Source organism: Homo sapiens, chromosome 2 (genome assembly GCF_000001405.40).
Source record: "Homo sapiens chromosome 2, GRCh38.p14 Primary Assembly".
Taxonomy (NCBI): Eukaryota; Metazoa; Chordata; class Mammalia; order Primates; family Hominidae; genus Homo; species Homo sapiens.
The window spans coordinates 68703130-68726641 of record NC_000002.12 but is presented as its reverse complement, the minus strand read 5'-3'; the positions used below and the strand labels follow the sequence as shown (position 1 = coordinate 68726641).

At 42.1% G+C, this 23512-nt stretch overlaps 1 protein-coding gene across 1 annotated transcript in view, besides 2 other annotated features; it reads right to left on the bottom strand.

Moving 5' to 3' along the window:
• The window catches only part of ARHGAP25 (Rho GTPase activating protein 25), a 116290-nt gene extending 100192 nt beyond the window's left edge, over nt 1–16098 (bottom strand). The window contains exon 1 of the mRNA XM_011533207.4: nt 15944–16098. The gene's annotated coding sequence lies outside the window, so the exon portion shown is untranslated. The remainder of the gene's footprint in view (nt 1–15943) is intronic.
• Nucleotides 11063–11142: an enhancer, noted in NCBI's record as "active region_15958". NCBI's record gives its function as "activates an Ori minimal core promoter by ATAC-STARR-seq in GM12878 lymphoblastoid cells {active_cell/tissue: GM12878}" and the evidence as "EXISTENCE:reporter gene assay evidence [ECO:0000049][PMID:35858748]".
• Nucleotides 11411–11705: an enhancer, noted in NCBI's record as "tiled region #5025; HepG2 Activating non-DNase unmatched - State 21:Repr, and K562 Activating DNase matched - State 8:EnhW". NCBI's record gives its function as "activates a minimal TATA promoter and a strong SV40 promoter by Sharpr-MPRA in HepG2 and K562 cells {active_cell/tissue: HepG2 | K562}" and the evidence as "EXISTENCE:reporter gene assay evidence [ECO:0000049][PMID:27701403]".
• Nucleotides 16099–23512: the final 7414 nt, after the last annotated feature.

Genomic DNA, 23512 nt, shown 5'->3' with positions numbered 1-23512 from the left:
CTAAGTGTCCCATAGCCAAAAAAAATTGTCCCATAGCCAAAAAATTTATATCTGGAGGCCTGAAGGCCAAGACGGGCATTATTACTGCTGGTGCTCTACCTGGAAGAAGGCTGCTCTGTGAATGATGGGCTCAGGAAGGGAAATGTCTATTTATATGGGAAATTCGTTCCCAGGGGATTATAAAAGAATCTCATGTTTTCCAACAGGAAGGAGCACACTGAGCAAATCAGGAGCAAATGTCCCTCACGTAACACCTCCTTTTGGCCATTGTTCTGTATTACGTTACATTAATTTGAACCACGTGAAGCTGCCAATATTTGACAGCTTTTGACTGGCAAGAACAATCTCATATATTTCCACATAATAGACCCACTCTGCCTCCTGCCACTCATTCATTCAACAAATATAAAGGAACCGTTCACCTATTAGGGATCAGGCAGTGCTCTAGGTGCTGAGAACACAGCCAACAAGAAGACAGATGAAAACGCCTGCTTTTGTGGAGCTTGTTCTAATGAGGAAAGAGACAAGAAAATAAATAAGTGAAATAAATGTAACGTGTTAGATGGTGGTAAGGGCTGTGGAGAAAAAGAAAAAGTGCTACGGGAAGGGGTGAAAGAAATGTCAGATTGAGGGGAGAGGGGAGGGAGATTGCATTTTTAAATAGTTGGACAGCGAAGGTGACATTTCACAGAATAGGTGACATTTGAGTAAAGACCTAAGCCAGGTTGAGAATGAGCCAGGTAAACCTATGTGGGAGAACCTTCCAGCAGATGGAGGTGTGAGTGCAAGAGCTCTGCCAGAGGTGAGAGGAGGCCTAGCACTTCAAGAGACCCCAAGGAGGTCTTGTGTTCACAGCAAAAGGAGGAAGGGGAAGATAACAAGAGATGGGTCAACAAGGTAATAGGGGACGAATTGTATGGGGCTTCATAGGACTTTGCTGGAACTTTGGCTTTTGCTTAGAGTGAGGTTTACAGCAGAGGAGTGCCTTGATTTGATGTATACTTTTAAATAATCAGGCTGGGCATGGTGGCTCATGCCTGTAATCCCAGCACTTTGGGAGGCTGAGGAGGATGACTTGAGCCCAGGAATTCTAAACAGCTTGGTCAACACAGTTGAGGCCCCATCTCTAAAAGAAAAGAAAAGAAAAAAATTGGCCAGGTAGGATGGCATACACCTGTAATCGCCGCTACTCAGGAGGCTGAGATGGGGGGAATGTGTGAGCCCAAGAGTTTGAGGCTACAGTGAGCCACAATCACATCACTGTACTCCAGCCTGGGTGTCAGAGAGAGACTCTGTTTCAATAATTATTATTATTATTATAATAAAATAATAAAAGATCGCTGTGGCCTCGCATTGAGAACAGACTGAAAGGTGGTAGGGCAAGGGTAAAAGCGGAGACCTTAGAGCTGACTGCAATGGTCTAGGTGAGTGAGACAGCAGGTCTGCACCAGCGTGGCCTGCTCAGCTCACTGCGCATGATTGTGCAGGTGATGCAGGGAGCAAGGCACCAGCCTCATGGATAGGTGGGGCTGGAGTCTAGTCAGGGCACTGAGCATCAGCCCAGAGTCTAACTGTGGGGCTTCAGCCATCCAAGGAAGGAGTATCGTTCTCTACTCAAAGGCTCTGCCACCCATTCAGTCATGGGGGTGATGTTTTTCTAAATTGTAGAAAAGCAACACAATATAGACCAGCAAAGGCTCTGCTGGTAGCCAGAAGGTGATGAGAAGTGGCCAATACTTCATATATATCCTGGATCAATCTTATCTGCTCTCCCAACGGGTTGGATGACAGGCGTGACAGAATGAGAGAAGTCAAGGGAAAAATGACAAGGTCGAGCACGGCCTGAGAAAATGGAAAGGAGAAGGTCCCGTTTGCTGAGATGGGAAAGACAGGGAAGGAGCAGGCTGGACAGAGGCTGGAGATAGGCCTGCATTAGGCCAAAGATGCCCAGTAAACATCTCCAAATGGAGATCCTACTGCCACCCAGTAGGCAGCTGGGTCTGAGTCTGGTGTTTAGGGCAGAGGTCCATTGGAGCATAGTTAAATAATGTCAAAGGCTTCTTTCCTCAACCTTAAATATTTTTTGTCACTCAGAGTGGCTCAGGAAGAACATCAGCAAATACAATTGGTAATGGTCTGAGGGTCAGCAGGTGGCTATAGTCCCATCCTCTTAGCATCCCACAGAGGTCATGCACTGTGGAGCTTCCCCAGTGAGGCAGCTGTCTGCTGTTGCAGAGGGGCTAGTATGAGAGAGGTTTTGCTCAGGATAAATAAACATTATAGATTTAGGTGTCAGGTAGTCTAAGCTTAGAGACCAGATGTTTAGAGAGTTGGGGGAAAATGTCAGCTCCTTAACACCTGGAGAGTTCAGGGCCAGTCCAGTGTGAAGTGCAGAGAGTTTGGGGCCCAGTCCAGGAGAGACTGAGGCTTTCTCCCTGGAAGAAAGAAGCCACTCTTCCAGGCTGTCCAGAGAGCTCCAGAGGTCACTCATCTGACGGTCCTTCTCAGCTGCATGGTTCTGCTCTCTGGCCCCAGTGGCTCATCAATGGAGGCCATTGTCCTGTCATACTCAGACCTCAAAGAAGAGAGAGATTTGACAAAAATTAGCTGGGCGTGGTGGCACACCTGTAGTCCCAGCTACTCAGGTAGCCGAGGTGGGAGAATCACTTGAGCCCGAAGGTCCAGGCTGCAGTGAGCTGAGATGGTGCCACTGCACCCCAGCAAGGCAACCGAGTGAGAGCCTGCCCCACCGAGAGAGAAAGAGAGAGAGAGAGAGATTTACTCCCACATCACCCATTTCCCAGTATCAGATGTGTCTACACCTGAACAATTAGGGTCTCTCCTCCTCCTTCCAAAATGAAATAAACCACCCTGAAGGGCCTGGTTGACCCCTTCTGCAGGCCTAGTCAGGCATCATTCATTCCACGTTGGTATACTCTGCTAGAGAAAACACCAGGGCCATCACTTCCACAGGCTGGGACTAGGGATAGAAGAGTTAGCAGGTGCTCACAGTCCCCATCCTCTCAGCTAGCAGTGTGGGACTGTGCCGCACAGAAAAGACAGCTTCTGAGAAAAGCATTTGGAATGAAGAAGCCCAAGAAGCCTCTGGATGCAGGAGCCATAATATTATACAACAGACCATAGAGGCCTGCAGGACTCAGCACAGTCATGAAACAGCCACCAAGGACTGGGAAGCCCAACAGGGAATCTATGTGACACAGAGATGGACTGCTTACCAGCTAAGCGGCATGTGGTTTGAGTGAGCTGGGCTGCATCCCACCAGGATGTGGCATGGCCCACAACTAGAAGGCTAACTTTATAGGCTCCCTGCCCCCGATTAGGGAACTTCACTTTCTTGAAAACATTCTCAAGGCATGAAGTTGTCTGTCTCTTCCAAGGGAATGATCACAGACTACTATGATCATGGATAACTCCCTTTGTCATGTGCTGGATTCCCTGACAATCCCACAGCAAGAACTTCATTTATGACCACTGCCTCCCATGACCACACCCAGCATCGTGGAATTTGCTGGATATTCTACACTCCTATGAACCATTACCGGTGCATCTAAATGAGCACTGGAATGGCCGGTTCAAGAAGCAAAACAGAGGCGCTGTCACCCTTGCTTCATAAAAAAAGAGAGCAGAGAGGTGATGGGAGCCCTCTGCTGGAGCACAGGCCCACGTGTTTCCAGCTGAACTCCAGACCTAGCGCACCTCTCCCGTTTGGAGAGTGGGGAGCCTATGTGGCTGTTGACCTTGGCCTGAGGGTGTCTGCACCAAGTGACACTCGTATTTGCCTCAAGCACTTTGCATGGTGCTTTGCAAAGCTGTCCTTGAGGGCTCATGTGCCCAGCTTGATGGGGAAAAATTGGGAGGTTCAGGAGCCTGAGCTAGGGTGAGACATGGGCCCTCGAGCCAGAGTGGGTTCAAATCCTACCTCTTCAGCTCACTGCCTGGGTGACCCTGGGCATGTTGCTTAACCTCTTTAAGCTTTACTTCTTATATATAAAAAGCACTCAATATAGTGTCTGGAATGTAGCAAATTCTTTTTTTTTTTTTTTCAGACAGGGTCTCGCTCTGTCATCCAAGCTGGAGTGCAGTGGTGCAATCTCTGCTTACTGCAGCCTCCGCCTCCCTGGTTCAAGCGATTCTCCTGCCTCAGCCTCCCGAATAGCTGGGATTACAGGTATGTGCCACCATGCCTGGCTGATTTTTGCATTTTTAGTAGAGTCAGGGTTTTAACATGTTGGCCAGGCTGGTCTTGAACCCCTGACCTCAAGTGATTCACCTGCCTTGGCCTCCCAAAGTGCTGGGATTACAGATGTGAGCCACCACGCCTGGCTGCAAATTCTTAATAAAGAGAAGAAAATAATTTCCAGTGTTGAAATTAGGAGTTCTGAAGAGCCCTTAGAGCTTGTGGCTTATTAAGAAAATAAGCTGAATAACTAGTAAGTTAAAGTGTGCTGAGAGACCTTCCTTTCCTTGTTTAAAAGGCCTATCAGGCTGCAAGGCCAACTTGAGCCAGCTGGGGAGGGTCACTCAAAAGAGTGAGAAAGGACGCTGTCTGTCCACAAAGCACTGCATGCTGAGGTGCTGAGGGTGGTGACCAATTCTGGACCACAAACCTTTGGTGTGGTTTAAGGAGCCGCTCCTTGCCTGCCCCATGGCCCAGCAAGTGTGCGAACAATGACACACCCAGTTTGATCAGCTTGGACACACTGGGTGAGAGGAAGTGGTGTCGTGGGAAGGAGTAGGTAGGAAAGGAGAGAGTTATAATCTCGACACCTAGAGAAGAGCAAGGGATCCAAGTTATGGAAAGGCAAATTTGTAATCCTCTGTCGACCTTAGGTTTCTGTGAGAGGAAATCCAATACAACAGCTGGAGAACTGTATTTTTAAGACAAACCTGGACTGCTCCACCACCCAGCTTCTACTCTCCTGAAATCACGAGATGCTCAGCAGGGTGCTGCCAGAACAGGAAATAACTAGAGCAGCTGATTTCACTGCTGATATGAAAGTCATGGTTCACCTTGAGTGATTACACGTAGAACACCAGACCTCCTGGGGAGAGGAGGAGCTGGTGGGAACCTGTAACTTTAATGTAAACTGAGTCCACACACTGGCAAAGATAACACTTTGACTTTCATTGCCATTTCAAATCCAATTCCTTCTCATGACTGTCATCATGACTTTGTATGTAAATAGGGCAGAGATTAAGTCATCCCTTTTCACAGAAAAGAGGTGTGGAATGGAGGAGTAATTTGCTTACAGGTCAGGTCAGAAATCCATACTTTATCCATGAGTTGTTGCAAACCTAATGCTCAGAAATATACAATACGATCATTACAATGAAGTATAAAATTCAAAATAAAACAAGGAATTAATTTTTGATTGCTAGTTCTGATGAGTTTGGACCAATTTCATAAAAGGCGTCACCAACCTTTATCTCTTATGCAAAAAAGCTTTGTTCAGAAAATTTGAGGTAGCCAGTGCAATTAAAACTTGTGTACATTTTTATTTGAAACATAACTATTTCCAATGTTAATCAAGTTGGCATTAGTTGAAGTTGCCCCCAAGAAGTTTCATGTGTAGCTCCAGGGACATAAGGAGGGAAAAAGCAATGAGGATATTATGCCACAGTAAGGCTTTGGAGTCTGGGGGTGCTTTGAGTGTTTCTGCGTTCAGCCACATCTGTGAGTACAGATGGATTTCAGTCCACAAAGCACTGCATGGTGACATGCTGAGGGTGGTGACCAGTTCTGGACCAAAAACCTCTGGTGTGGTTTAAGGAGCCCCTCCTTGCCTGCCCAGTGGCCCAGTACGTGTGCAAACAATGGCACATGCAGTTTGATCAGCTTAGACTCCCCAGGTGAAAGGAAGTTGTGTTGTGGTAAGGGGTAGGTAGGAGAGGGGGGAGTTATAATCCTGACACCAGATAAAAATCGATTTCAGTTTTGAAAGATAATTTTGGTCAAGCAGAGGAATCTACTGGGATCACCTTCAAATGCCCCAAAACATCTAGCGTAGAGAAAGTCTATTAGAAAATAGCCTACAAATTTTAAAACTACATAGATTTTTGCCCACCTTACTGTAGGACTTTGGGAATCAGGAAGGTGAAGAAAAGGCAAAAAACAGACTGCAGCCATTATGCATCCAGAACTTGTCCTTTTGGATGATACCAACAACAAAGTGATTATGGCTACATAATGGCTACATAATTAAGAAGAAGTTAATCTCTGTACAGAGTAAAGTTTCCAGAGCAAGTATAGGAGCTTTTTTTTTTCTTTTTTCTTTTCTTTTCTTTTCTTTTTTTTTTTTTTTTTGACTGAAATGTTTCTATGTCTGCAATTCCTGTTTTTTCCCAGTTTCATCCCATGGCTCCACTAAACCCTTAAGGCACAGTTTATCAAGGAAGCCCATTAGAGTGGCATCTCTCAAGCCACTTCCTGCCAAGGGACAGCATTTCTGTCTAACTCCTGTAATTTTGAAGATGGAGACCTTCCCTGACTGGGTGTGTGATTTCTAGAAAAGAACCCTGATCAGTCAGCTGATAGTGCACAGGAAGTTGCTCTGGCTTTTTACCGAAACCATCAATTTGGTCTTCATGTAACATTAAAGATTCCTTTTCAAAAGGAAATCTTTAAGCATGGACTTTAGATCAGTGAACGCGACAGGTCACTGGACAAACCTGGACATAGGCGTACCTTATTCTGAGTTTGGGAATAAAACAGGTGATTATGATGGTGGCATGAGTCAGGTACCAAGAGAAGGTCAGAGGCTGGGACCCATGGGGGTCTGGGTACCAACCCCTGCTCTGTCATTACTGGGATTTCTGAACCCCAGACTTCTCATCTACATGGATAGGGTGATAATATCTACTGTGGGGTATTCTTATAAGAAGTAGGTTTCATGTATATGTAAAGTGCCTGGGTCATAGCAGGCACTTGTTAAACAGTAGTGTTAATAATCATTAAGTTACCTTAAAATGGTATCTGACAGCAAAGTTGTGGTAGGCTGAATAACAGCCCCCGAGGATATCCACATCCTAATCCCTAGAACATGAGAATGTGTTCCTTTACATGTATATAGAAAAAAAAAAGTTATTTTTTTCCTCTACATTTTCAACACTTTGCATCTGGTCACCAAAATGTGGGCGTTGTTCTTATTTGTTTGTTTGTTTTGTGGGGTTTTTTTTCTTTTTTTTTTTTTTTGCCATGTCGACCAATTCCCTGATACCAGCTGGGTGTCCTACAATTCAATTCGGTTCTGACACTATCTACCTGGAGTTAGCATCAGGTGCCACAGACGAAGGGCGCAGTCTTTCAAAACTGCCCCCACTTCAGACACCAGTCAAAAGTCCAGGGTTCTCACTTGTGCTTCTAACAGACTGGCCATAAACTGGGGCTCCCATGACCCTCTCCTTGGGGTTGATAATTTGCTAGAATAGTTTAAAAAACTCAGGGAGACACTTATTGTGTTTGCCATTTTCTTTTATAATAAAGGACATAAAGAGGTATATAGGATGAGGTCTGGAAGGGCTCTGAGTGCAGGAGCTTCTATTCCTGTGGAGCTGGGGTGCACCACACTTCTGGTACATGGATGTGTTTACCAACCCCAGAGCTCTCCAAAACCCATACTTGAGGGAAATTTTTTTTTCTTGGAGGCTTCATCATGTAGGCTTGATCTATTACTAACTCAATCTCTAGCTCTTCTGCCCTCCCCAGAGAATGAAGGTTGGGAATTAAAAGTGCTAAGCTTCTAATCATGGCCTTGTCTTTCTGATGACAAGCCCCTATCCTAAAGCTATCCAAGGCCTCATCAAGAGTTGTTTCATTTGAATAAAAGACACTCTTATCACCCAGAAAATACCAAGAAATTTAAGAGCTCTGTGTCAGGAACTGGACTCAAAGACCAAATGTTAGAACAAATGATGCTGCTAGTACCCGTACCACTTAGGGAATTAGAAAAGTTTAGGAGCTCTATGTCAGGAACCAGGGTCAGAGACAAATATCTCTATCTATGTATCTATCTAGGTATCTATGTACCTATCTATCTGTCTAGGTATCTATCTATTTATCTATCTATACATACACACACACACACACACACTTATATATTTCTTATTATTTCACAATATGGTAAAAGTACTTTGCAGATGCGATTAAGTCAAGGATATTGAGATGGGGATGCCATGCTGGATTATCCAAGTGTGCCCTTATAAGAAGGAGGTAAGAAGAGATTTGACTGTAGAAGTAGAAAGTGTGAGTACAAAACAAAGTTCAGAAAGATGGAAGAAAGGGGCCATCAGGCAATGCTGGAAGCCTCTAGAAGCTGGGAAAGGTGAGAAAATGATTCTCCCCTTAGATCCTCCAGAAAAAGAAAATGTGATGTGATGCTGCTGGTCTCTGGATCAGACTTTGAGTAGCCAGGCTCTAGAGGTCTACTTTGAGGGGACACATTTGATTGGCAAAGAAGATACTTTTTTTTTTTTTTAACAAATCTGCCCTTAACTAAGTTCCCAATTCTCTGTAACCCTTTATAACACTCTTTGATGAGTGCATAGTAGCTGCTGAGTGTTCACAGCTGGTAGTACACCATTTACTTCTACTCCCACCAAGTGAATTATCTGTTGCCCAGCTAATGCATTCCAAGATGATATAAACCGTACTTACTATTCTAATTATATGATAAAGTGGGTTACTTAAACCAATGAAATATGAGTGCAAAAGAAAAAACAGAGCTCTTTTTATGAATATTAAGTTAATGGCTTTGGAAAGGAAGAATAAATTTATATTGGCAAAAATATGTCAATTCACATGTGGGTAAGTGGAAGGGGGACTCATAAAAACCCCTACACTTGGAACACCTTAAAATATGTCTTAGTTTTCACTCCCACTTTAAAGAAACCAGAACTTTTCTGCCATTGCTTTATGGATAGTGTTTATACAAAGAAAAGCCATAGGAATATGCATCTGCTTTTTAAGTTGGAATGTGAAAGGCCGAGTGACTGCTGTCACTCAATAGCGGTGATGATAGGTTTGCTCACAGCTCAGACCTTTGGCTTCACATATGCAAGACTGCAGTTTTTACCTAACACCCTTGTCAAGCCTCAACTCCACAAACCTGTCAGAGGCTGTGATTAAGTTATCGTCTTTTGCAGAGGAAGTGTCTAAAGCTTAAAAAGAAAAGATTGAATTGACTCAGTTCTAGAGCCAGTAAAAGCCTCAACATCCTGACCCTGGGCCAGATCACAATGCTTCTCCCATACTGTGCCTTTTAACATAGAGGTCCCTGATTCACACAGCAATGAACCTAAGGTTTGATGTATTCAGTCATGTGCCACATAAAGACATTTCTGTTGATGACAGATCCCATATACAGTAGTGGTTTCATAAGATAATAATATTGTATTTTACTGTACCTTTTCTATGTTTAGATATGTTTAGATGCACAAATACTTACCACTGTGTTACAATTGCCTACAGTACAGTAACACGCTATACAGATTTGTAGTCTAGGAGCAATAGCCCGTACCATATGGCCTAGGTGTGTACCACCTAGTTTTGTGTAAGTATATTCTATGACATTTGCACAATGAAATCACCTGAAATCACCTAACAACCTATTTCTCAGAACATATCTTCATTGTTAAATGATGTGTGACTGTATTTAACTAAAACAGAAACATTAAGGAATACACATAAAACAAATACTGCGAAAAATATTGAATGTCACATTCTGACATTTAAAGAGAGATAGAATCTACATGAATCGTTCAACCAGGATCAAAGAGTAAAGAGAACGACCAGCTGTGGCAAAACCATGTCACAATGAAGGAAGTTTGGTTCAGAAAACTTATACAGTAGAATAAGGACGCCTATCTGAGATGACCCTAAGATCCCACGGTGGTTTCTCACCAGTGTAAGTGCTACCTCAAGATAACATCATGTGGTTGAAGGTTTGAATAAAACGATGTATATACATTCTCAATCTGCTTGTGCTGGACAACTGAAATTTCAGTTTCACAAACTTATGAAGGCAAAGGGACCCATGTTCTTCATCTTCTTAGAGAGAAAGATGTCCACCCAAGCTTCAGGGAAGGATAGATATAATCTAGGGCAAACTCAGGAGCTCTGAGAGCCCCTCCCCATCAAGTTGACTCACCACAGTGTCCCCATCTACCTTGAATGGTCTGCATTTTGGAAGAAGCCACAAAATGAAGAGTTAAGAATCATTTCCATAGCATTAGCGTATGTTCCAAGAGGGTTACATGGATGTCCCAGAGGGAATCTTGCTGGGCAGCTCTCCTCCTCCACTATTTCATCTTTCTTTCTTCTTTTGAAAAGGGAGAATGATAACCAAGTCTCAGTAAAAGCAAACAATGAAACAATCTGGGCCTTCCCATTCAAGTTGGCAAGCCAAACACTCCTTTATCTCTCTGCTTTCCCCAAATAGATGGCAGTAAGGAAGATAGGAAGAATGGCGGGCACAGGAAAGGATGGGCAGGCCAAGGATTTTCATTAACTTCTGGAAGCCTGTCAGTGGATGGAATTACACTCAGGAAGTAACATTAGCAGAGGGAACAACAGCTCAGAACATGGCCCAGAGAAGGATGAAAGAGGGCAGGGCGCCAGAAGGGCCCCGGACTCAGAAATGGCAGGTGTGAAAACGACTGAAAATACCTATGGAATAAAGAGTGAAGTAGATTCATTTCTCCTCCCAACCGCCCTCACCTGTTCATGTAATAGTGGCTTTTATGGCCCAGCCTACCCAGAGAGCTGTTCTTGGCAGCCACTTATCTATGTCTGGGAGGAGATACAGTTCCAGAATGGAACTGTGTTCGGGTGCCTCACTGCTAAACCAAACTCAACATGTTCTTAACTTTAAAAAATAATACATATCATACAAGAAGTCCACAGTAGGATGGCTCCCAGATGGTTACTCTTGGGGCTCTGGCATTCATTCCTCAGGCATCCAGGTTCTTCCCTCGGTTCACCTCCTCCACTCAGTGTGTCCACAAGATGGCAGTAGCAGCCCCATGCCTCTCACCTACACGGGAAAGCACCCGGTGCAATGCCTCTTACTCTTCCCAAGCATCTTTTTCAAGAGCACGACCGCCTCCCGGAAGCCCCTAAACAAGCCTCCCATTGCACTGCATTAGCCAGAGCAGGGTCACGTGCCCACCCCAAACCAATCACTGGAAGAAGAAATGAGTTTTGTCTCTTTGTTGTTGTTGGTGGTGGTGTTTGGTTGTTTGATTGGCTGTCTTAGAACGGGGCTTCTCAAACTTGAGCAGGCATCAGAATGGCCTGGAGAATTTGTTAAAATAGCACATGGGTTGCTGGGCGCCACCTCCAAAGGTTCTGATTCCATAAGTCTGGGGTAGGGCCCAAGAATTTGCATTTCTACCAACTTTTCAGGCAGTGCTGAGGATTCCAGTTCGAGAACCACTGGATTTGAGGAAGCAACCAACAGTGAAAAGTCCCATCCTCCCCAGGCACTTTAGGAGTGGTTCTAGCCTGACTTCCTGCTCACAAGGTTCAAGTTAAGCCTTCCAGCGCACAAGCCCCACCCTCATGCTCAGGGCTAGTCATGCCTCTCAGTCAGGGAAGTCATGATTCTAACCACCAGAAGAGCTAAAAGCAGAAATGTCCAAAAGTGGCAACCTCAGGGGAGTGCTGGGAGAGAAGGGGAGGAAGGGAAGTGAGACATTTTATTATTGTCATATGCCCATCTGAACCCATTGTATTTTTCTTTCCTTCCGTATTTTAATAAAAAATACTTTTTAGTGCACATTTTTTTTCTACTAAGGAATATTTTCAACTTTTTGCCCTTCTCCAACCAGGCATTTCTGTGTATCAGGATGAAGGCTGTGCCTGCTCCTGAATGACTACTGGGTAAATAACGAAATTAAGGCAGAAATAAATAAGGTATTTGAAACCAAAGAGAACAAAGACACAACATACCAGAATCTCTGGGACACGGATAAAGTAGTGTTTAGAGGGAAATGTATAGCACTAAATGCCCAAAGGAGAAAGCAGGAAAGATCTAAAATTGGCACCCTAAACATCACAATTAAAAGAACTAGAGAAGCAAGAGCAAACGCATTCAAAAGCTAGCAGAAGACAAGAAATAACTAAGATCAGAGCAGAAGAAAGAGATAGATACAGGAGAAACCCTTCAACAAATCAGTGAATCCAGGAGCTGGTTTTTTGAAAAGATTAACAAAATACATAGACCACTAACCAGACTAATAAAGAAGAAAAGAGAGAAAAATCAAATAGATGCAATAAAAAATGAAAAAGGGGATATCACCACTGATCCCACAGAAATACAAACTACCATCAGAGAATACTATAAACACCTCTATGCAAATAAACTAGAAAATCTAGAAGAAATGGATAAATTCCTGGACACATACACCCTCCCAAGACTAAACCAGGAAGAAGTCAAATCCCTGAATAGAACAATAAGTTCTGAAATTGAGGCAGTAATTAATAGCCTACCTATCAAAAAAAAAGCCAAGGACCAGACGGATTCACAGCCAAACTCTACCAGAGGTACAAAGAGGAGCTGGTACCATTCCTTCTGAAACTATTTCAAACAATACAAAAAGAGGGACTCCTCCCTAATTCATTTGATGAGGCTAGCATCATCCTGATACCAAAACCTGGCAGAGACACAACAAAAAAAGAAAATTTCAGGCCAATATCCCTGATGAACATCAATGCAAAAATCCTCAATAAAATAGTAGCAAACTGAATCCAGCAGCACATCAAAAAACTTATCCACCATGATCAAGTTGGCTTCATTCCTGGGTTCAACATCAACAAATCAATAAATGTGATCCATCACTTAAACAGAACCAATGACAAAAACCACATGATCATCTCAATAGATGCAGAAAAGGCCTTCAATAAAATTCAACAGCCCTTCATGCTAAAAACTCTCAATAAACTAGGTATTGATGGAATGTATCTCAAAATAATAAGAGCTATTTATGACAAATCCACAGCCAATATCATACTGAATGGGCAAAAGCTAGAAGCATTCCCTTTGAAAACCAGCACAAAACAAGGATGTCCTCTCTCACCACTCCGATTCAACATAGTATCGGAGGTTCTGGCCAGGGCAATCAGGCAAGAGAAAGAAATAATCAAATAGGAAGAGAGGAAGTCAAATTGTCTCTGTTTGCAAATGACATGATTGTATATTTAGAAAACCCCATCGTCTCAGCCCCAAATCTCCTTAAGCTGATAAGCAACTTCAGCAAAATCTCAGGATATAAAATCAATGTGCAAAAATCACAAGCATTCCTATACACCAATAACAGATGGAGGACCAAATCATGAGTGAACTCCCATTCACAATTGCTGCAGAGAATAAAATACCTAGGAATACAACTTACAAGGGATGGGAAGGACCTCTTCAAGGAGAACTACAAACCACTGCTCAAGGAAATAAAAGAGGACACAAACAAATGGAAGAACATTCTGTGCTCATGGATAGGAAGAATCAATATTGTGAAAATGACCATACTGCCCAAAGTAATTTATAGATTCAATGCCATCCCTATCAAGCTACCATTGCCTTTCTTCACAGAATTAGAAAAAACTACTTTGAATTTCATATGGAATGAAAAAAGAGCCTGTATAGCCCAGACAATCCTAAGCCAAAAGAACAAAGCTGGAGGCATCACGCTACCTGACTTCAAACTATACTACAAGGCTACAGTAACCAAAACAACATGGTACTGGTACCAAAACAGATATATAGACGAATGGAACAGAACAGAGTCCTCAGGAATAATGCTACACATCTACAACCATCTGATCTTTGACAAACCTGACAAAAACGAGCAATAGGGAAAGGATTCCCTATTTAATAAATGGTGCTGGGAAAACTGGCTAGCTATATGCAGAAACCTGAAACTGGACCCCTTCCTTACACTTTATACAAAAGTTAACTCAAGATGGATTAAAAACTTAAACATAAGACCTAAAACTGTAAAAACCCTAGAAGAAAACCTAGGCAATACCATTCAGGACATAGGCATGGACAAAGACTTCATGACTAAAATACCAAAAGCAATGGCAACAAAAGCCAAAATAGACAGATGGGATCTAATTAAACTAAAGAGCTTCTGTACAGAAAAAGAAACTATCTTCAGAATGAACAGGCAACCTACAAAATGGGAGAAAATTTTTGCAATCTATCCATCTGACAAAGGGCTAATATCCAAAATATACAAGAAACTTAAACAAATTTACAAAGAAAGAAACCCGTCAAAAAGTGGGTGAAGGATATGAACAGACACTTATCAAAAGAAGACATTTATGTGGCCAACGAACATATGAAAAGAAGCTCATCATCACTGGCCATTAGAAAAATGCAAATCAAAACCGCAATGAGATACCATCTCACGCCAGTTAGAATGGTGATTATTAAAAAGTCAGGAAACAACAGATGCTAGAGAGGATGTGGAGAAATAGGAATGCTTTTACACTGTTGGTGGGAGTGTAAATTAGTTCAACCATTGTGGAAGACAGTGTGGAAATTCCTCAAGGATCTAGAACCAGAAATACCATTTGACCCAGGATTCCCATTACTGGGTATATAACCAAAGGATTATAAATCATTCTACTATAAAGACACATGCTAATGTATGTTTATTGCAGCACTATTCACAATACCAAAGACTTGGAACCAACCCAAATGCACAATGATAGACTGGATAAAGAAATGTGGCACATATATATCATGGAATACTATTCATCCGTAAAAAAGGATGAGTTCATGTCCTTTGCAGAGACATGGATGAAGCTGGAAACCATCATTCTAAGCAAACTAACACAGTAACAGAAAACCAAACATCTCATGTTCTTGCTCATAAATGGGAGTTGAACAATGAGAACACATGGACACAGGGAGGGGAACATCACACACTGGGGCCTGCGGGGGGTGGGTGGCTGGGGGAGGGATAGCATTCGGAGAAATACCTAATGTAGATGACGGGTTGATGGGTGCAGCAAATCACCATGACACATGTATACCTATGTAACAAACCTACACGTTCTGCATATGTATCCCAGAACTTAAAGTATATTAAAAAAATTTTTTAAAAAGATGGAGGTTGTGAATGGAGCTTAATGGAGGTGAGAGTAGCTATTCTTTCAAGAATACTAATAATTCATGCCATTGCACTCCAGCCTGGGTGACAGAGCAAGACTCCATCTCAAAATGAAAATAAATACTAATAATTGAGTTAAAATCATCATAATGAGGTTGGCAAAATATCAACCTGTGGTTTGCACCAAAATTTATCTTAGCAAAGTCACTCTTCCCCTTTGGAAATACTTTGAGAAGGACTTATGGGAAAATTCACCTCCATTCCTCCCCCATCCACCACAACCAGCACCATGGATGTTCATGAAGGTCAGCACCAAGGCTGAAGAGAAAGCAGCTGAATGCACTACAAATAAAAGGAGAAGACATTGGATTTCCTCGGCAAATTCAGCACAGAAAAGAAGGCAAGTTAAATGGGTGCCATTGAGAGGGAGGGGGCTGCATTCTGTATGAATGATTTTGTTGTGGTGGAAACTTAAAAGGCCAAGTTCAAGTTTGACATAGGATGACCTAGACAACCAGGGAGGAAGTGGAAGTCCAAGGAGGCAGAAAAGACTCTGAGAACCATATAAGGTGAGTCCACACTAGAGAGATGTAGCAGAGATCTTGGTTTTCACTTTCCATAGGCCCATTTATTAGAGAGTTGAAGCCAATTTTGCCTCCATCTCAAGCAGCAGGCAGCCCCCTAGCTAACTCTCAGTTATATAAGAACTAGAAAAAGCCACCAAGTTTATGTCAGGGACCAAATATTTGAGCCTTGTGAAATCACCAGATGACTGAGGACTCTGACCTTCTGAGAAGGAGCTGTCACTCACCTGCTGCAGAGACATATTTATGGAGGGAGATGGAGCGGGGGGTTCCAGCAGTGTCCAGAGCCACTTAGGCTGGAAGTCACTGTAGACCAAAAGCTGAGTGTGTCCTTTAGCTGGAACAACTTTGAGAGCTCCTAGGCTGGTGCTTATCTATGGAAGAAGCCAGTAAAGCCAAGTCTGAATCATTGCAGGAGACTCTGTAAGTAAATAAATAAAAGCTCTGTAGTTATTTTTAGCCCAATTCAGTCCATAATCATTATTTCATTCACATCTGAAGAATAAAGACTGATTCAAATAATACTTATGTTCCATTTGGTTCTAGTCATCATTCCCCACTAATGCCCAGGAAATAATCTGGAGGTCTTCCATTAGTGCAAAATTATTGTTATTAGTCCATTTGTTTGGAGATTTAATGGATTCTGTTCATAGATGAATTTCTTCGAGAATTCAAATTTATGTACTTTTTAAAAAGCATTTCTTTTTCTCTTTACAATTGCAATTCTGGGTTGAATTATTATTTTTTTCCTGCCTTTCTATGGCTATTTTTTTTTAATTTGTAAATTACCTGATTGGTCCATTTGCTGACTGACCTAACATAAAATCAACCCCGTGCTATCTGCCCTGGGTAATTGGCTGCTTCCTTTATGAAGAGATTGTCATCAGACTCTTTTATAAAGCATCTCAGAAGGGTTAACACTATTACCTTAAGGAAAGCCATTCTTTAATTTATTAGAACAAAAGAATTGAGGAGAAATCTATTGGCGAAACAGTCTCATAATCCAAAATGCGATTGGGTTCTGCTCTCTTTGCCTCCACCCCAGGAGGATCATAAAGCAGTGCAGACATCCACATAGACTGGCCTGTGTTGCATTTGTCCTCCTAGCACTCAGAGACAAAGACCACATGGCTGGCTCAGGGAGGCACAGAGTGACTGATACACAAGGCACACTCACTTGCCAAATTACGGGGTGTTTGGATCTTGGTTTAATATGTTCCAGATCATAACCTGGTAGAGAAAAGACTGTTTATCCACATCGGTAACCACTGGGAATAGTTGACAAAAGGAAAAAACTCTTGTTTCTTAGCTCCCTCTGCTGGTCTTTCAGAAAACCACCTGTCCCCTCAGGATCCCATCCTGAGCTTTGTACACATGGAGGGCCAGCTTCCTGCCAAATGTGAGCTGGTAGGAAAGTCCGGTCCACATCAACTAGGAAGACAGATCTTGGCTTCTCAAGGAACCTGGTGATTCAAAAGATGAGAACGGAAGAGGGGCCTCCCCGTGGCAAGTCCAAATTCAAACACAGATTCTCCAGCCCACCCCACAAAGAAATAAGACTGAGGCATGTTTACTCTGGTCCCGAAGCTATGTGTTAGGTTTAATGCAAACTCTGACTGCCATAGTTTAAACCTATATCACTTATTCAGGCTTAGTAGGGAAAGAAATGGAGAACGGTTGATCAACCTGACTCAATATGTTTGGTTATTTAAATGGGACCTATAGCTTTGTTTCCTCGAACAACAACAAAAATGTTATTAATTATGTTATCTTTTCTTCATGGTTCCTATTCTCCTAAAAGATTTTCAGGAACCAATAACAGCAATTCCGAGAGATTTTCAGCAATATACCCAAATTTCCAAAGATCTTGCTGCTTTCTCATCTTGAGCTTTCTTATTTCTTGTCCCTAAAGATTTTCCTAGTTCCACTGCATTCTTTCTGAAGCTGGTGAGCAGCCAGCTGACCCACCCAGTGACAAAATTGCATCTGAGCTTTGTACACATCGAGGGCCATCTTCTTGCCAAATGTGAGCTGGTAGGAAAGTCCGGTCCACATCAACTGGGAAGACAGGTCTTAGCCTTTCCCAACAACTCCCAACCTGTTCACAGCCATTCATTGTGCATGATGGCAGGGAAGCCAGGGCACAGTGCTGAATGACACACAGAGCACACTGAGCCCATAGTCCTGAGGTCTATGGATCAAATCCATCCCTGGCAAAAGAAGAGATTTTTTCATGTCGATTCAGAGACTAAAAGGTTGGTTGTCATTGGCCAGAGCACTATTTACACTAGTTAGAGCTCCCCAAGAAAAATGATTTCAAGGCTCTAGGCTATGTCCATGACCTTGGCCAGATAGATGCCTTACAAATGTATGGTCTCAGTTATTTCCTACCAAAGGAAGCAGTCCAAAATTTGCCCAAGTAGTCATGGGTCAGTCAAAGCACACATAGGACAAGGGAACAAAAGATTTACATAGTTTTTTCTATCTAGGAAGATATTATAAACACATAATATAATACCTTCCGGCAACCCTTCGTTCTTTACAAAGCATATTAATACTGTTTTACAGTCAACTGTCACACTACAAAACCATACTGATTTGTTACACTGGTTTGTTATAATTTGTTACTATGTGTCTGTGTCTACATATGGACACATACACATATATTTATACATATACCTGTAATTTTTAAATCAGGGAGTTTTTTGAAAAATGAGTTTGCATTTGTATTAGTCTGTTCTCACGCTGCTAATAATTGGCAATTAATGCAAACTTATTTTCTAGTCTTCTTCACAGCAATTTCACTTTGGATTTTAATGTTACATTCCCTGGCTTTCTACATTCATTCATTCAACAAATGTCTATGAAGTATCACTATGTTCTAAGTGCTACTTTCAGTGTTGGACATAAAGCAATGAACAAAGCCACTGCCTTCATGGAGCTCATGTTCCTTAAGGGAATATATAAAATAGTTCACATAATGAAGGCTTACCTAAAGGTAAAGAGAGCTATGGGTGAGTGTGATGGGAAGGTCTCTTGGAAGAGGTGACAGGGGAGAGGAGCTCAGGGAACTGATATGAAGGAGCAAGTGGTGTGAATATGTGGAGGAAGGGTACTTCAGAACAGAAAACACAGATATGAAGGCCTTGAGGTCATTATTGAATGCCTTCTAGGTTTCAGGCATTGTATTAGAACTAGATATATAATGGTAGACAACATGGGCATGAACTCTCACTGTCATGCACTTATAAACTCTGGGGGGAAGAGTCCAACGGAGGGATCTGAGGGTGGGAATGAAGCTGACTTAGTTAAAATGGCAAAGAGAAGGGTATTCTCAGAGTCCTTGGAAGATCAGTTGATGTGCTCCAGGAAGAGAGAAGGTGATATGGTTTGACTCAGTGTCCCCACCCAAATCTCCTGTCAAATTGTAATCCCCATGTGTCAGGGTAGGGATGTGGTGGGAGCCTGTTGGATCATAGGACCGGATTTCCCCCTTGCTGTTCTCATGAGAGTGAGTGAGTTTTCTCAAGATCTGTTGGTTTAAAAGCATGTGGCTTTCTTCACTCTTTCTCTCTCTCCTGCCACCTTGTGAAGAAGGTGATTGCTTCTCCTTTGCCTTCCACCATGATTGTAAGTTTCCTGAGGCCTCCCCAGCCATGCAGAACTGTGAGTCAATTAAACCTCTTTTCTTTATAAATTACATACACTTATAGCAGTGTGAAAATGGACTAATACAGAAGGCCAGCAATGCTAGACTCCAGTTGGCTAGAGGGAATACAGGTTGAGATGGATTTGTAGGGATAGGCAAATGTCAGATCATTTAGGGCTTCCTAGGTAATTAGGAGTTTGAAGTTTATTTAAAGTGTATTGTATAGCCATGAGGGGATTTAAGCAGAGAGTAGCATTACCTGATTTGTATGTTCAAAAGATTACCCTGATTGCTGTGAAGGGAATACACTGGAAGAAGAGAAGGAGTATAAAAAGTCCACCGAGGAAGCTACTGCAGTAGCTCAGGGGAGAGATCCTGGAGGAGGACCACAGTGGCCACAATAGGAACGGAGGGACAGATTCCAGATCTATTTTTGGAAATAGGAGTCATAGGTCTTGCTGTTGGACTAAAAGAGAAAGATGAGGAAGAAGGAGAATAAGATGCTTGCCCCTTTCTTACAGTGGGCAATAAGTGTTCAATGCCATTGACTGAGAGGATGAAGACTGGGAAGAGGAACACATTTGTCGGGGAGGGGTGGAGGTCCAGAGTTGCATCCTGGACTTTTCAGTTTGAAACTTTTCAGTTTGAAAAGTCCACAAGGTCATTGAAGGAATATCAAATGAGCAAATTTTACATGTCATTTCTTTAAAAGGAAGTCATTAAGTTTGGATGTTTGGTAACTTCTAAAGCGACCTACTTAATATGAGCATTCAGGACTATCCTTCAGATTGATAAAGAGGCTAAGCTTCGCCAGTGTCTGACTTTGCTTGGCCAGTATCGTGCAGGGATGCTGATACTAAATTGATTGGCACACAGAGAAAAGGAATAGCCTTCTAACAACTAAACTAGTTGCACTTCGTGTGACAGATCCCTTAGGCACAGAATCTGAAAGAAGATTAGTAACAAAATGAAACGTCTATGAAAGTCTACTTACAACAGATACACATAAATCAGATTCTAGGTGATTCTGTGCTTATTCACAGCATCAAGGCAATTAATATGTGTAAAAAATAATACAAGTGGAAAAAAATGGATAAATAGGTGGATGGATAAATGGATGGATGGATGGATGGATGGATGGATGGATGGATGGATGGATGGATAGATGGATGGTTTATATTAAAGTCAGGAAGATTTTTCAAGAAGAAAAATGTTCCTGGTTTTCTATTGAAAATAGAATACAGGCATAATCCATGTGATCTTCGATCTTTGCCTTTAAATCTATGGCAGATACTCTGTGTTGTCTATCTATCCTCTTAATCCTCCTTTCTTCCTTCCTAATAGAACCCTAATTATATGCAGTTTACCATCCCCTCTACAACCTATCATGCATTTCAGGGAAAACTGCTCCTACCACAAGCCTCAGGGAATATACCCTGGTTCTAGTAATTCAGTTACAGTAATCTCATTTCTCTTACTTGTTATTTAGAGATGGGCATGTGACTCAATTCTGGCCAAGGGTACCCAATTAGAAGCCTTCTGGAAATATTTTGAAAGGATTTCCTCAATAAGGAAGACAATGCAGAAAGAAACCTTCTAGATACAATCCTTGGAACTGCTGCAGCCTCTTGCAAGCATGAAGGGTCTGGTCTGAGATAAAATCTGACACAATGAGAATGAGGAAAGCAGAGTGAAAAGATGGTGGGCCAACTCAGCGTGGAGCCAAAACAACTCTATGGAGGCACAACTCAAAACCATCTTGCCTCGTGACCACCGATTTCTTCAGGTGTCCCAGAGCTTGCCTGTTGGCAATAAGTCAAGAGAGACAGTGTGACTGCTCTCATATTTAGGCATGTGCAACTCAGACAGATGGGTGAATTAATACCCTGTAGGGCAGAAATTTGAGTGGAGGGAGACAGAAATCAGCTAACAAATTCTCCCTTTCTACCTCAATTGGAAAGTTCTGAGAAATAGTCATGTATATGGCTTCTTCAAAGAGAGTTTCATGTTATCAAGCAATCAGTCAGCTTGATTGCAAGTAATGGCTACCCAGGTAATGCACCCTCATTTTGACTCTCCTTTCCTGTCTCACTAACTTCACTCGTATTCCCTGGAACTGGAATCCCTAGTGAAATATTGACACAAGCCTTTGCCAAAGGCTTCCCTTTAGGGAAACCAGGCTAAGACATGAGTCAGTTTTTTTCCTCTGACTTGTAGCTACCTTAACTAATTTATCATCTTTCTATTCATCAATCACAGCTATTTAGCCTCCATCTGCAGGCTTATCTCTGAAACTGGATTTGGCTTTCTTTAAGAGAGAGCTCTAGGTCAGTGCTCAGGGACTTGCTGTCTTTTAATAGAGGACTTCTTTGATTTCTGTTAGCAATGTTTTATAGATTTCTTTATACAGGTCTTACACATTTTAAAATATTTTATGTTGTATGCTATCGTAAGTGGTACTTTTTGGAGTTTCAATTTCCAATTTTTGTTTCTTTCTCTTTTTTTTGTTTTGTTTTGTTTTTTGAGATGGAGTCTCATTCTGTCACCAGGCTGGAGTGCAGTGGTGCGATCTTGGCTCACTGCAACCTCCGCCTCCCGGGTTCAAGCAATGCTCCTGCCTCAGCCTCCCGAGTAGCTGGGACTACACGCACGCCCACCACACCCAGCTAATTTTTTGTATTTTTTTAAATAGAGACGGGGTTTCACTGTGTTAGCCAGGATGGTCTCAATCTCCTGACCTCGTGATCAATCTGCCTCGGCCTCCCAAAGTGGTGGGATTATAGGTGTGAGCCACCGCGCCCAGCCTTGTTTCTTTTTTTTAAATATTTTTCCTTTTTGAAACAAGGTCTGGCTCTGCTGCCCAGGCTGGATTACAGTGGTACCATCTTGGCTCACTGCAACTTCTGCATCCCAGGCTCAAGAGATCCTTTCACCCCAGCCTCCCGAGTAGCTAGGACTACAGGCATGTGCTACCACACCCAGCTAATTTTTGTATTTTTTTGTAGAGATAGGTTTTCACCATGTTGCCCAGGCTCCTGGGCTCAAGGGATCTGCCTGCCTTGGCCTCCCAAAGTGCTGGAATTACAGGCATGAGCCACTGTGCCCAGCCAATTTCCAATTTTTCATTGCTAGTATATACAATTATAACTTTTATATATTGACCATGTATCCTGAGACCTTGCGTAACTCATGTATTAATTCTGCTAACATTTTGTAGGTTCCTTAGGATTTTCTACACAGATGATCACATCCGAGAATAAAAATGCCTTTTGCTTTCCCCTTTCTAAGCTTTACACCTTTTATTTCTTTTGTTTGACTATTGCACTAGCTCAGACCTCCAGGACAATGTTGAATACAAGTGGTGAAATTCACTGCGCAGCAGTGGTTCACACCTGTAATCCCAGCGCTTTGGGAGATTAAGCCAGGCAGATCACTTGAGTCCAGGAGTTTGAGACCAGCCTGGGCAGCAATAGTGAGACTCTGTCTCTTTCTACATATATTTTTAAAAAGTGGTGAAATTGGACATCCCTGCCTTCTTCCCAGTCATAAGGGAAAAACATTCACATTTTCATCACAATTTAGATATAGTTTTTGTTTGTTTTTGCAGATGTGTTATATCAAGTTGAGAAACTTTCCTTCTGGCCTGGTTTTCTTACAGCTTTGATCATGAATGAATATTGAGTTTTGTCAAATGCCTTTTTGGCATCTATCAAGATGATCATGCGATTTTTCTTTTCTATTCCATTGACAGAGTTAGTTATATTGATTTAGTTTTGAATGCTAAACCAACTTTGTGCTCTTGAGATAAACTCCATTTGATTATGATATAGTTTCCTTATTATTTATTGTTGGATTTGATTTGCTAATATTTTACTGAAGATTTTGTGTCTAACTTCATGAGGGTTATAGTCTGTACTGTATACTGGCCTCATATAACTTGGGAACTATTTGCTTCTCTAATACTTTCAGGAAAAGTTTGTACAAGACTTGTATTATTTTTCCTTTAAATGCTTGATAGAATTTGCCAATAAACTTACCTATGACTGGAGTTTGCTTTGTGAGAAAGTGTTTAACCACAGATTTAGTTTATTTAATAGATATATATGGGCTAATCAGATTACCTATGTCTTCTTAAGTGAACTTTACT